Source organism: Homo sapiens, chromosome 8, assembly GCF_000001405.40.
Source record: "Homo sapiens chromosome 8, GRCh38.p14 Primary Assembly".
NCBI lineage: Eukaryota > Metazoa > Chordata > Mammalia > Primates > Hominidae > Homo > Homo sapiens.
In genome coordinates this window covers 6,477,551-6,491,819 of record NC_000008.11, presented here as the reverse complement: position 1 = coordinate 6,491,819, position 14,269 = coordinate 6,477,551, and the positions used below count along the sequence as shown (strand labels likewise).

General features: G+C 40.2%; 1 protein-coding gene across 14 annotated transcripts in view; it reads right to left on the bottom strand.

Moving 5' to 3' along the window:
- The window catches only part of MCPH1 (microcephalin 1), a 241,882-nt gene that overhangs the window by 156,689 nt on the left and 70,924 nt on the right, over positions 1-14,269 (bottom strand). For 11 of the 14 annotated variants that reach the window (NM_001322042.2, NM_024596.5, XM_017013833.3 and 8 more), the window contains exons 10-11: positions 14,189-14,226; positions 10,944-11,106 (exon numbers count right to left, since the gene is read on the bottom strand). The exons of the other annotated variants lie outside the window; for them this stretch is intronic. In NM_001322042.2, coding sequence (NP_001308971.2) covers positions 10,944-11,106; positions 14,189-14,226 — 201 coding nt within the window. The remainder of the gene's footprint in view (positions 1-10,943; positions 11,107-14,188; positions 14,227-14,269) is intronic. 14 annotated transcript variants of the gene reach the window in all.

The following is a 14,269-nucleotide window of genomic DNA, read 5'->3' as shown; positions in this document are numbered from 1 at the left end:
ATAAAATATGATGAGTTCATGTCCTTTGTAGGGACATGGATGAAGCTGGAAACCATCATTCTCAGCAAACTATCACAAGGACAAAAAAACCAAACACCGCATGTTCTCACTCATAGGTGGGAATTGAACAATGAGAAGACATGGACACAGGAAGGGGAACATCACACACCAGGGCCTGTTGTGGGGTCGGGGGAGTGGGGAGGGATAGCATTAGGAGATATACCTAATGCTAAATGACGAGTTAATGAGTGCAGCACACCAGCATGGCACATGCATACATATGTAACAAACCTGCATGTTGTGCACATGTACCCTAGAACTTAAAGTATAATAAAAAAAAAAGAATACTAGAAAAAAAAATACATGTTCTGAGCAATGCTTTTAAAGCTAATTGTCCTTCTGTCCTAATAATAATCTTTAGCAGCTAAAAAAAAAAAAAAAAAGAAAGAAACCATAGACTCTACTTCTGTTTATCGAAGTAAGTGGTAGGTGTATTCTCCATAAGTGAGACATTATTCTGGAATTGTGTAAATTATTCACCAAACATTGCAAAGCACTCTGACTTCTCAGAAATACTTTAATTGTATGGCAAAAAAATTAAATTGTCTTTTCAACTGACTCATGATCTCAATTTAAGTTTATTTGCTAGGAGAGATTTTAAGAAATGTATGACACTATTTGGTATGTGGCCACCTTTTTGCCATACTACTTTGAAAGTTTAATAAAACCAATGCTTCAAAAGTAAAAAAAAAATTTTTTTTGATAAATTTTATTTTTTAAATTTTAAATTTTAATATTCTAAAAATTTAATATTAAGTATTTAATATTAATATTAAATAATTGTTATTAATGATTAATAGCATTATTGATATTATATTATTAATATATACAATGCTTGTTAAATTATTAACTTAGGCACAACTTCAATATTCTGGCAGAGAAACTTTCTTTCAGAAACAAGAACCCAAGAAAAAGAACTAAAAAACAGCTCTATTATGAACCTATGGCAAGCTGTTACTCTAGCTGACAAAACCGCATTACATAATTCTCATTCTCTGGTTAAGGACAGCCTAACAAATTTTCTGTATGAGATTTTCCTATGAAATTCATTTCATTTGGAATTCCTATTCAATTCATTGGAAATTAATTTTAGGAGAAAGGCATTAGGTGGATCATACATCAAAAGTATCAGGTAGCAAAATGTACAATGTCGTCAAATATAGCTTTGAAAAAAGTACAACAGTTTCCTAAAATCTAGTATTTCTTACATCAGCTCTCTTCAAAAGCTAACATTGTCCCTAAAACCGAATTCACAGAGGGTGCTTACACACAGACTGTAAGAGAAGTATGATGTTCCTTGGAAATCATTTTAACTTGGGGATAGAGTTTAGAAGCCTTGAAATAACAGATTGTTAACAATGTCCCCAAAGTCCCTGAGGAACATCTAAATGACATCTAAATGATGGACAGCTGAAGACAGTTTTTGAAGTGACAGATAAAACCAAACCATGGTTGAATTTTCCAATGAATACCTGAAGTTAAAATATTCTGTGCTATTATTTAATATTTACAGTGAGAACTGTGTGATTGAGATGTCAGAAACAAAAGTGAAAGTTCAGATGTCTGGCAGAACACTGCAAAGGTTAAAGTGCACCTTGAGGTATGGTCAAAGCTTGGAATTTGTGCTGCAGTTCAGCATGGACCAAGTTGACGTCCTGGAGGTCTCAGTCATAAGGCAAATGTTGGGGAACTGAGATCTACACTGAAGACCTGTGTTACTTCACAGTTGATCCAAGTTAAAAGAAAAGGAAAGACCAACAGTGTGATCCTTGAAGGCCATGATTTGGAAAAGGATGGGTGGCAACAAGTACCCTCTCGACTTGTTGGTTTTTAGCCTTATCCATTTAAAGTATTTGCCAAATACAGCAACTTTTTCATTAATATACATAATCTTAGTTTACTTTTTAAATTTTTTTTCCCTGATAACTCAGCCAACAGATTCAGATGCTTCCCAAGGCCACACTCAACTCACCATAATGCAACCACATCGCCAAGCACTAGGACGATGATCTGTGTTGCAGTTGGCAACACGAGAAGGCTCGAGTCACACTTCACAGTGCCCCATTCGCTGCCAACCAATCTCTCTGATGTAGCAGCAGCATTATGTCTAGGAATAACATATCAGCAATATGTCTGATAATAATCCCTAACTCAGCAAATCGCACCATTACACATAACCCTAGTGCTTCCACTGCTTTATGTACCATTGACTCTTCAACTGTCTTAGTCATTGGATTCATCCTGCTTTTTTCAAGGTCTCTGACAACATCCACCTGAAGAAATCAAACAGTGGCTTCTGTCTCCTCTTATTCACCTTCCAGCAGCACTCAGCACAGCTGAGCATCCTTCCTTCCTGAGACAGTCCCCCTTCTGACTGATGCCATGTTCCCCTGGTGTCTCCCCCAGGTTGCTAGCTAGCCGTTCCCGGGTCCCCCTGCCTCCCCCTTCCCCCTGACTTCTGCATAGGGGCACAGCCCAGAGATCAAACCTAAACTCACTGTTTTCTTCATTTCTTCATTCACACTCCCTTCCAGGTACCATGGCTGGAGTGAATAGTTAACCTTTCCTCTGAATATTTGTACATATATATAATCTGATATGTAGTATCTCTATTTGAATGTCCAGTAGGAATCTCAGACCTAATATGCCTACATCAATTTTTTATTGTACCCCAAACCTTGCACACAATCTTCTGCCCCAGAATTCCCTAACTCTGCAAATGGCACCATTATCTATAGTTAGTCGCCCCAGGAAAAAATTTGGGTGGGAGTCTTCTTGACTTCTCCATTCCCACACACCTGACGTTACAGATTCCACTAGATCTTCCTAGGAAGGGCGCCGACCTGCTCTCTCCTCTCCACCTATCAACCCCCCCTCTAGACACAGCCGCAGTCATTTTTCACCTCGATGACCCTAGCTGCCTCCTGCTTCTCACCCTGTTCTTACCTCCCTGCAATCCATTCTTTGCTGAGAGGCCACAGAGACAAAAGCTGCCACTCTGTAATTAAAATAGTCCGATGGCTTCTGCATCCCTCGTCTTGAACTACACAGCCATACTGGGGCCCTACAGCCTTCTCCAACACCTGTCCTCCTCACTCCCGGTGCCTCAGGTATTTCTCTTTCTTGCAAAGGTGCAGCCTTAGGACCCGGGCACTGCCTTTTCTGTGCCAGGTGCATTAAGTAGATTCTGTTTAGCACCTTTCGAAAATTAAAAAATATTAATGTAAAAATTTGAAAATGGTGATCAAACTTTATTTCTAATCAAGCCTGTGGTTGCATCTCAGGGTGACTCCACAGTCTTCTCCCACTAAAAAAATCACTTTGACTCTTTCAAACTTTAACATCAGTCATTCTTAGCACTCACAGGTTTCTCCACATCTTTCCAAATGTCCTCCTAGAGGGCAGCACCACAGCCCTCAATTTTACAGATGAATCACTTTTTGGTATCTGTCCTCAATCAGCAGATTATGGTCCTGGGAAGCACAGCGGCTCCAACCTGGGAAATGCGCACCTTGGGGTCTTGCCAGGAGCAGCAGACAGGGGGATGGAGGACCTAGACCGCAGCGCCTGCTTCCCATGCTCCCAGCGGCCAGAGGCCACGCTGCCGCAGCCTGCAGGAGCCTCCGCAGAGAATGAGCTCTGGCACTGCTCAGGAACCACCTCAAGTGAAAGAAGCAGACAAACTCTGTGGGTTCTATGTCTGGGCAAAACCAGAATCCATTATTTTAATCAGGAAAAAGTATAAATTAGGTGTCCTGGAGATAAATGTAAGACCATAGTCACTGCCTTAAAACAATGCCTTGACAGAGATGTGTTTCTAAGATCCACGTTCAAGTCAGACAAGCTATTTTTGCCCAGAGTCTCCATCACTAAATTCACTAATTATTTGCAGCGTCCTTCTCGGCTGCAAAAATGTTCTGTCAGGATCCAGTGAGACAGTGCATGTGAAAACACTCTGTGAAGTATAAAGTCCTTTACCAAGGTATAATCTGTAGCAGGATAAAAAGGACTTTGAAATCAAGCCGTGAAAGTTCAGAGACCCAGGCCTGAGATCCTAGTCAGCTTGCAAGTGCGAGCAATAAATGTCTGCCAGAGAGACCTGAAGGGCACCCTCAGAAACTCAGTGTCAGTGTGACACACCAAGTACAATGTCCCTGAAGATTCTTCCTAACATGAGTTATGAAGTTAATCTGCCAACTGAAAGTTAAAAAGAGAATGGTTTTTCAAGATGATCCCTTTTGAACAGACTTAGGAATGCAGGGTGATGAACTAACACCAGTGAAAAGCTGAGATTCCAGTTCTGGTTCTCCCATGAGTTATAATTTTAGGAGAGCGGCTCAGCATTTCTTTAATGTAAAATGAGAGGCGTGAACGGAATGAACTGAGTGTGTTATTCTAACAGTTCATTGATTCTATGCTCACCACTGATAAAAACATATCTCATCTGACTCACTGCTTACTAAGTTCAATGTGGATCACATTATCTCAAGAAAATAGTCATCATGAAATCATTTTTGATTAAGAAAACACTAGATTATCTGTTGATAGTTAGCGGCCTTGACATTTTGTTGTAAAGCTGATTTAGCTTTTAAGCCCTACACTTGTATTTATAAGTGAATTAGCTTTAAATCTCTATTATCAGATCCTTTTCATAAGCTGTTCAGAATCAAAATATTAAAATCTGAATACAGGCTGAGTTATTCCTCACTGTGCTGGACAGAGTGACACGGAGTGGTAGCTGGAAAAAGGGAAGACTGAATCACAGGACACTCTGCTTGTATGTTAGCATCCACAAAAGGGTTTCGAGGGAAAGTAGAATTTTAGACAAGTCACAGGAAAGTGCAGGAATCATCAAATTAAGTGAGAGTGGGATAAAGAGTATTTAAAGGTTCAAATTGTGCTATGCTTGAACAACACATAACAAAACAATGTGAGTCTAAAGGGACACTTTGGTCAAATTAATTTCTTTATTTTTCTGTTGTGTTACTTCCTGTCTCCCATAAATAGGAAGCTCGGCAACTCCTGGCATGGTTTTCTATTTCCATGTATCTGCCAGACAATTCAGTCATGAAGGAGGAAAAACATAAATTATTCTCTTTCCTGAAAACAGTAGCGCTAACACTGGAGGTGTGAACTGCTGTAAACATGGAAAAATTGCCAATAAACTTCTCAAAAATATTAAGTCAAAATTCAAACTGAACTTTGTTATAAAATCGCCACAGTTTCTGATAAGACTAGCTGGGCCACATACAACCATCTAATTCTGAAGAACTGCTACAAATCTCCTTTACAAGAAATTTCCAGAGAATACCACACAAACCCTGAAATAAAAACATGCTCAGCAGTGTTTTTCTTGGAGGCCAGTTTATACTGCTAGCCAAAGAGAATATTTTAAGAATCCCCCAACTACATTGGAGACAGGGTTAGAAGGAGGAGGACGAGAGAGCGAGAGAGCGAGAGTGCCAGAGAGAGAGAGAGAGAGAGAGAGAGAGAGAGATTCCTTGTACACAAAGTCAATGTATATAATATATGATATGGATACTTTAAATCTTGACCCTAAAAGAAATTGGAACTGTGAAGTTTATATCTGAAGTTATATGCAAGACATAGATAAATATTAAAGTGGGTGCTAAGCTTTAAAAATTATGTAGAATGGCTTTGTAAATGGTGGTGGCAACTATCCTCTCTCAAATTTCTTATGTTTGTACTATTCAATTTATTTAAAAGTTAAAGGAGGGGGGCCATGCAAGAAGCAGCAGTCATCTTTGTCTTCTTGAAGACTGAGATGAACAGAGAAAGTGACTCGGCTTGTTTCTAAACTTTTTGAGGGTGCAAGTCAGGAGCAACCTGTGAACATCAATACTCCTGTTGTGCCAGCGAGAGTCATCGTGGTTACCATTGCGGTTACCATTGCGTTTACCTTGTAATCACACAAACATATATTTATATCTGTTTGTGTCATTTATATATGTGTGATATACCTGACTGCCATCATGGTTACCTTGTAATCACACAAACAGATATTTCACCTGAAGCCATAGGCCACCTGAGCCTTCGCAATCTCCCAAGAGTTGATACTATTAACAAATAGCGACATCATCAGTAAGGCAAGGGCAATACAGACATACATTTGTGACGTTTTGCCATGAATGAGGGGAAAAAAAGGTAGCACAGAGGGCAAAGAGCAATTTAGAGAAAGTTATGTTTTTAAATTCTTTTCATTTTTTTTTTAAGATAGAAAAGCTGGGATGAAGCTTCAGTGCTAACAGGAAGTATAGGTACAGAGGCAGCAGTTGAAGGTACAGGAGCCTGTAAACTTCAGCACACAGAAGGAAACCTAGTTCTGAAACCAAGACACTAGCCCGGTCCTACCAGTGCTCAAACATCTCCATTTGGAAAGCACGTTAGATATGTAAGATATACTTTTTTTTTTTTGAGACAGAGTCTCACTCTGTCACCCAGGCTGGAGTGCAGTGGCGTGATCTCGGCTCACTGCAACCTCCTCCCTCCAAGTTCAAGCGATTCTCCTGCCTCAGCCTCCTGAGTAGCTGGGATTATAGGCACCTGCCACCGTGCCCAGCTAATTTTTCTATTTTTAGTAGAGACGGAGTTTCACCATCTTGGCCAGGCTGGTCTTGAACTGCTGACCTCGTGATCCACACGCCTCGGCCTCCAAAAGTGCTGGGATTACAGGCATGAGCCACTGCACCCCGCCTAGATATTCTTCTTAATTTAAATTTAGAAACAATAAGATTTACTCGTGTGTGCATATGTGTGTACAGTTCTCTGTGTTTTAATACATGGATTCTGTAACCATTGCCACTAACAACACAGCACAATTCCAATGCCCCAAAGATGTGACAGCTGCTATTGTTCTGCAGAGGCAGATGCTACTCCCACCTTAATGCGCGGCAACCACTCATCTGTTCTCCTTCCCTATAGTTTGGCCTTGTCTAGAATGACAAAGAAATGGCCTTATACAGCATGTGACCTTCTGAGACCAGCTATTCAACTTGGCATGATGCCCCTGAGAGTCATGCAAGCTGCTGTACCTATCACCATTCCTTTCGACTCCTGAGTGACACTCCACAGTATGGTTGGTCCAGCTGGTTGATCCATTCACCCACTGGAGGGACAGCTGTGCTGTTTCCAGGTCCAGCTGATGATAAGTAAGGCTGCTACAAATATTCGCGTACAGACTCTGTGTGAACACAAGCTTTCATTTCTCCGAGGCAAATATCTGGGAGTGGGACTGCTGAGTGGACATTTAGCTTTCTGTGAAACTGTCAAACTGTTTCTCAAAGCGGCTGGACCACTTCCCACACACACCAGCAGCCGTTCCAGCTGCCCTGGCTCCTTGCTAGAGTGCGACTGTTATTTTTTCTTTTAGCCATTCTAATGGATATGTAGTGGATCTCACTATATTTCTGAAGTGAGCAATAATGATGAGCATCTTTTTAGATGCTTATTTGCCATCTGTGTGTCCTCAGTAAACTGTCTATTCAAATCTTTTCTTTGCCATTTTTTGTTTGAGCTGTTCTGTTTTCTTATTGTTCAGTATTAAGAGTTCTTTATATATTCCAGACATAAATCTTTTGTCAGATATAAGATTTGCAAACGTTTTCTTCTGATCTCTTCATAATATCTTTCACAGAGTAAAAGCTTTCAATTTTGATGAAATCTAACTTATCTATGTTTTCTGTTATTCATCATGCTTTTGGTGTATCTAAGAACTCTTTGCCTACACCAAGATCATTTTTCTTGTATGTTTACTTATAGAAGTTTTATACCTTTAAATTTTGTCTATGATCCATTTGGAGGTAATTTTTGTGGCTCGTGTAAGGTATAGAATGAGGTTCTCCCTTCCTTCCTCCTCTCCTCTCCTTTTCTTTTCTTTTCTTTGACAGGGTGTCTCTCTGTCACCCAGGCTGCAGTGCAGTGGCATGGTATTGGCTCTTTGCAACCTCCATCTCACCGGTTTAAGTGATTCTTGTGCCTCAGCCTCCTGAGTAGCTGGGATTACAGGCAGGTGCCACCATGCCGAGCTAGTTTTTTTATTTTTGGTAGAGACGGGGTTTCACCATGTTGGCCAGGCTGATCTCCAATTCCTGACCTCAGGTGATCCACCCAAAGTGTTGGGAAGGTTCCTTTTCTTGATTGTGTATGTCCAACTGCTCCAGCACCACTTGTTCAAAAGACTGAATTTCTCCACTGAATTGCCTTCATGCCTTTGTGAAAACCCATGGGATGTATTTTGGGGGTCTATTTCTGGATTCTCTGTCTGTTCTGTGTGTCCACCAATACCACACTGCCTTGAGGACCACAGCTTGAAAGGATGCCCCAAAAGCAGGTAGTGCCAGTCCTCCTCCTTGTTCTTTCCTTTCTAAATTGTTTTGGCTATTCTGGCTCCTTAATATCTCCATAGAAATTTTAGAACCAGTTTGTCTGTATCTTGAAAGAGTCCACTGAGATTTTGAATGAGAATGTGTTAAATCTATACATCATTTTGGGAAGAAGTGACATGTTCACTGTACTATGTCTTCTAATCCATGAACATTGTATGTCTTTTAATATATTTAGTTCTTTGAGCTTTAAAATCAGTATTTTGTAGTTTTCAGCACACAGATCCTGCACTTATTTTATTAGCTTTATACTGAAGTTTCAATGGAATTCTTGCATCTGGATGACTTGCTCAACTCAGCTGTCACCTCTAATTGCTGTTTTGTAGATTGCTTGTGACTTGTCTACATAGAAAATTGTGTGGTTTATAAATAGAGATAACTCTATTTCTTCCTTTCTAACCTACATGCCTTTTATTATCTTTTCTTGTCTGATTGCCTTGTACCTCATTCATTCACTTATGTGTCTGAGTGCCCCAGGTTCTTCCCTCCAGGCAAGGAGTCTAGACTAAAGGTGAGAAGTTTATTAAATAATGTGTTTTAATGCCCACCTTTATCATATCAGGTAATCCCAGAAGAGATACAATAACCTAAAATTTCACCCAGTTCTGTTTCTATGTATGATTAGCTGTGGAGTACTAGCAGAACACTGAGCAGAGACATGCAGACAACCAGGGAGCAGGTCTCTATCCATGTCGACAGCAAAGGCAGTACGTTCTCACGTCTGACCTCTATGGACTGCTCCAAGTCCCAGAAGAATAAGTTGGGTAAGGAATCCTGTACAGATGCATATCCTTAGAAATAACATTTTTTCCTCCAAAACCTGAGGGAAGGGAGAGTAGTCAGATGAAGACACAGAGACGATTTGAATTGGAGAGAAATAAAACACAGAACTCATTCACTGATGCTAGAGTTATTAAAGAGACAGTAGTCCACCCTATCCAAAGGGGGCACAGTCCGTGGCCCCCTGGGGGATGCCTAAAACTGTGGATAGTTCTGAACCCTATATATATAGTATGCACAGTTTTTTCTCCTTCTTCACAATTTCACAGGTCAAAGAGTCATTTTTTCCATAGATTTTAGCTACGTCAGCATACCATTTTTCTTTCCATATTAAGTGGACAACGTTCACCTTTTCACTTAAAGAAAGCACCTTGGAGCTCCTCTTTGGCATATCAAAGTTGTCAGCATCAATACTCTTGTGCTTGGGGAACATTATTAGGCCAAATAAGGGTTCCTTGAAGACAAACACTGCAAAATCACGAGATTCTATCTGATAACCAAGATGGCTACTAAGTGAGGGCAAGCAGCACCTACTCCATGCACAGGCTGGACTGAAGGACGATTCACATCCCAGGGAGAATGGAGCCAGATAACCTGAGATTTCTTCATGCTAGTCAGAAAAGAATGCATTTAAAGACTTATAAATTGTTATTTTCTGGGATTTCCCATTTAATATTTTCAGACCATGGTACCTGAAACTACACAAAACAAAACCCTGGATGAGAGGGGCACTACTGTCTTTCATCCAAATAAACATAAAGCAGTACTAATATATAATCAGGTAAGGTGATCCCCCATTGCCACCAATGCAAATGAACAGTGCTTACTTTTGGAATTTCAACGTTTTCCACTTCACAACTAGAAGCACTAATCTCTTTAACCTCTGTCACAACACGGAAAAAAGACGACGGCCATTCTTGAAAATACATGTGTAGCTTTTGCATGTTATAATTCTACTGGTTTAAATGAACACAGTATGAGTATGAATAGAATACATTCTTGGGAGAGGAGGAGGGAAGACGGATACCACAGATGCAGAATGGTAACATACGTAACAAGTGATGCTACTGTCACCAGAAAGGAATGCTTTGGAGCAACCTTAGGTTGAGGATGAAAGTAATAATAGAACCAATAACAGTTCATTTCAGTTTTTATGAATAACGAAAATAATTATGTATTTTTAAAAGCTATCTTTAATCTACAGAAACAAGGGCAAATAATGTTACAGATAGATATACATAGGATAAAACCTATCCAAATGGGATTAAAAGAACATCCTTCATCCTAAGTAAATCCATCTGTACAAACAATCACTGAATTATTTTGGCTCTGCAAACCACCACCACCACAGCTCACAATGTTTCTTGGTCACACATAGAGGAAAGCTCTTTGACTGTGAGAACATGCATCTTGCGTTTCTTTCAGCATCTTTGTAATCTTGCTTCTGCTTTATCTTAGAGGCTACTCACTTCCTGCTCTCTACCCTCCCCGTCCTCCTGTTGCCCCAGAACTTGGCCCTGGTTGAAGGGTAGCAGCCCACGGGAGACCAACAGGAGGAAAGACGGGTGTTCCCAGCTCACAGGAAAGTGTGCAGATCCACAAGGGTGCACGCCGGCCTGAGTGCTGATGTCGGCACCTCAGGGTGACCCACTCTATCAAAATGCCTTGTTTTAAAATACGCAGTTCACACACAGGGCTTACCCAATCATAAGAGAGAACCCAGCAGCCACGCGCAATTCCCAGCAGCACATTCAGGGTGCGAAGTGGCTTCCCGGAAAGCACGTGAGTCGTGGTCTCACAGACGTCTGGTGCAATTGAAAAGCCTTTCAATTTATCCACAACCTGGATGACGACATTCTGCTTTCTGTCAAATCGGGGGAAAAATTAACAAAATGAATGACTTTGTTGCACATGCCCATCAAAGCAGTTACACTCAATATTAGTACTAATAAAACTAGAAAGCCAAAATTTGAAACTGATTTTGGTTATGGTACGTATATCTTAACTGACTTATAATCAATGCTTTGAAACCTGGGGAAATAAACTTCAGATCTCAATTCTATTTTAATGGCTGAGAAGACAAGCCCACAGGCTGTCAATGGCTTCCCACAGTGGCTGGGCTGGGTAGGGACAGAGCCAGCATCAGAAACCAGGCCCCTGGCTGGGCGCGGTGGCTCACACCTGTAATCCCGGCACTTTGGGAGGCCGAGGCGGGTGGATCACCAGGAGTTCAAGATCAGCCTAGCCAACATGGTGAAACCCCGTCTCTACTAAAAACTACAAAAATTAGCCAGGCGTGGTGGCACGCGCCTGTTGTTCCAGCTACTCAGGAGGCTGAGGCAGACAGAATAGCTTGAATCCGGGAGGTGGAGGTTGCAGTGAGCCGCGATCGTGTCACTGCACTCCAGCCTGGGCGACAGGGAGAGACTCCGTCTCAAAAAAAAAAAAAGAAAAAAAGAAAAAAGAAAAAAAGGAACCAGGCCCCTGACATCAGACCAACACTCTTCCCACTGGGGCAATGATTTGTTTTTCAGGCCTATTTGAACCTATCTGTGCATGCTCAGAACCAAGAACCTCACTTATTTTATTTTGAAAATGTAATATTTATTGAGTATCAACACATAGTTTTTCTACTAAGAGGGGAAAAAAGACCCTTTTTATTAAATCATCAAATCAAATCTGGGACCTATTTGTCACAAAGCTCATGACCATTATGGCTTATCTCCTGCTCTGTCATTCCCTTAATACTTAAAATATCCTTTAAAAAAATATATTCTTTCCGTCCAACTTCCTTACCAAACAACCCTCAGTTCTTTCTTCCCTTTTATAATAACCTTTCTATGCCATTAGTTCTGACATTAGTTTTCTCTCTCTCCCAGAAAATTTAAAAAATCCCCAATGGAGGGCTTTCTAAGCCACACTGTGATATATACAACAACATGGTGAAACGCTGTCTCTACTAAAAAAACAAAAAAATTAGCCGGGCGTGGTCGCGGGTGCCTGTAGTCCCAGATACTCAGGAGGCTGACGCAGGAGAATGGCGTGAACCCGGGAGGTGGAGCTTGCAGTGGGAGGAGATTGCGCCACTGCACTCCAGCCTGGGTGACAGAGGGAGACTCTGTCTCAAAATAAATAAATAAATAAATAAATAAATAAATAAATAAATAAATAAATAGAAAAAGAAATAAACATCTCTCCTCTCCAAAAATTATATTACAAAGGGGAAGAGGTTATTGTCTATGCTTATACAGACTGCCTCTAACACTCTTCCTTCCAAATGATGGTGTTCCTTAGTTTTATTTTATTGTTTTGAGACAGGGTCTCACTCTGTTGCCCAGGCTGGAGTGCAGTGGTACAATCATGGCTCACTGCATCCTTGATCTCCAGGGCTCAAGTGATCCTCCTGCCTTATCCTCCCAAGTAGTTGGGACTATAGGCAATTCACCACCAAGTCTGGCTAACTTTTGCATTTTTTTGTAGACACAAGGTTTTGCTATGTTGCCCAGGCTGGTCTTGAACTCCTAGGCTCAAACAATATGTCCACCTGGGACCCTCAAAGTGCTGGGATTATAGCCGTGAACCAACACACCCAGCCTTCTTAGTTTTATCTCTAGTGATCTTAGGTATGTCCATCTCAAAACCTGTTTCTTTATCTGTAAAATGAAAGGGCTGAATTATATCATGCTTTTAAATTCTTAAGAGATCCTTAGGGTAGAAAAGATGTGTGAGTCAAGATCTGGGCCTCATCACTACTTCAACCCGAGAATGTGTGCTTGAGTCAAGAAAAATAATTAAACTTGGAAAGAAATAAAGGCAAAAATGATAAAAGAAAACAAAAACAAAAACAAAAAGTAAAAAGCTCTAAACTACACACTCCCTAGAACTCCATCCTGAGGCTGGCAGCTGCTTGCTGGATGTGCCAGTAAGTAACAAGTGTCTCTGCAAGGCTCAGCTAATCCACATAAAATCAGAATGTCCAGGTCTTATTCTTAAGTATCACAAGAAGTCCATGTGGAGAAAAAAAGAGTAAGACAAGAAGACGGCCTAAATGAAAAGTTTTATTTTTAAATCTTGAATGAGAAAATAAGCAGTTAACTAGTAATTTTTCTTTTATTTTGGAAAAATACAAAGACTTTAAAAAATATTACACATATATTCAATATTCGCTTCTGTATTAGACTATTTAGAATGTTCAATATATTTCATAATATATTTACAAAAATTTTGAGTGACCCCCTTTTTCACTATATAATGTATGGTGTTTGATGATCAGTGCTTTTATTTCTAAGCCCCAGGCAGGAAAAGGATCCCACTACTGAAAATGTTCTAAAGGTGCCCTCTCTGCAGCATATTTTTCACTGAAATGTTCCAATGTTTTGATGGATGTCTTAAAACCTTAAAACCTATGATTGATATCAAAAACATGGTTTTCCCCTTTAAACAGGAATTCAAAAATCTGTTGCAAAGAATATAGCACTGTATTTTTGTTGGATGTTCTTTGTTGTGTTAAATGTTTAAGGGAGATGATAAGAGCATGCCAACAAGCTATTAACCCTTCCACAAAATGCATACATAGCAACTTTAACACTGCTGTGGAAAGCTTTCTGCTGCAGTATTGCTTTAAGACCTTTAAGGGAAATGTTTTGGTCAATGATGTTCCACTTCTTGAACATTCATGAAGCTATTTGGTATCAAGCAAGCAAAAGAACACCAAAACGAGCACACACCTCTTAATGCTGCCTAAACAACCCCAGAGTTTTCAAGGCTAAGTCGCTCACATTTGGTACATGTTTAATTTTCAGTGATCTTCTAACTCAGATATTAATTTTATAAAGTAAAAGTGATACAGGACAGATTGACAAGTTGCCTAAAGGCACCCAGAATTAGAGTATAAGAGAGAAAAGGTTAACATTTTACATTGAACAGAAATCAAAACAAGTACTTACTCAGATGGCATGCTTGTCATGACTAATGTTCTTGTTGGCTAGAGATTTCAAACAAGAAGGAACAAAAAACAGTCAAAAACA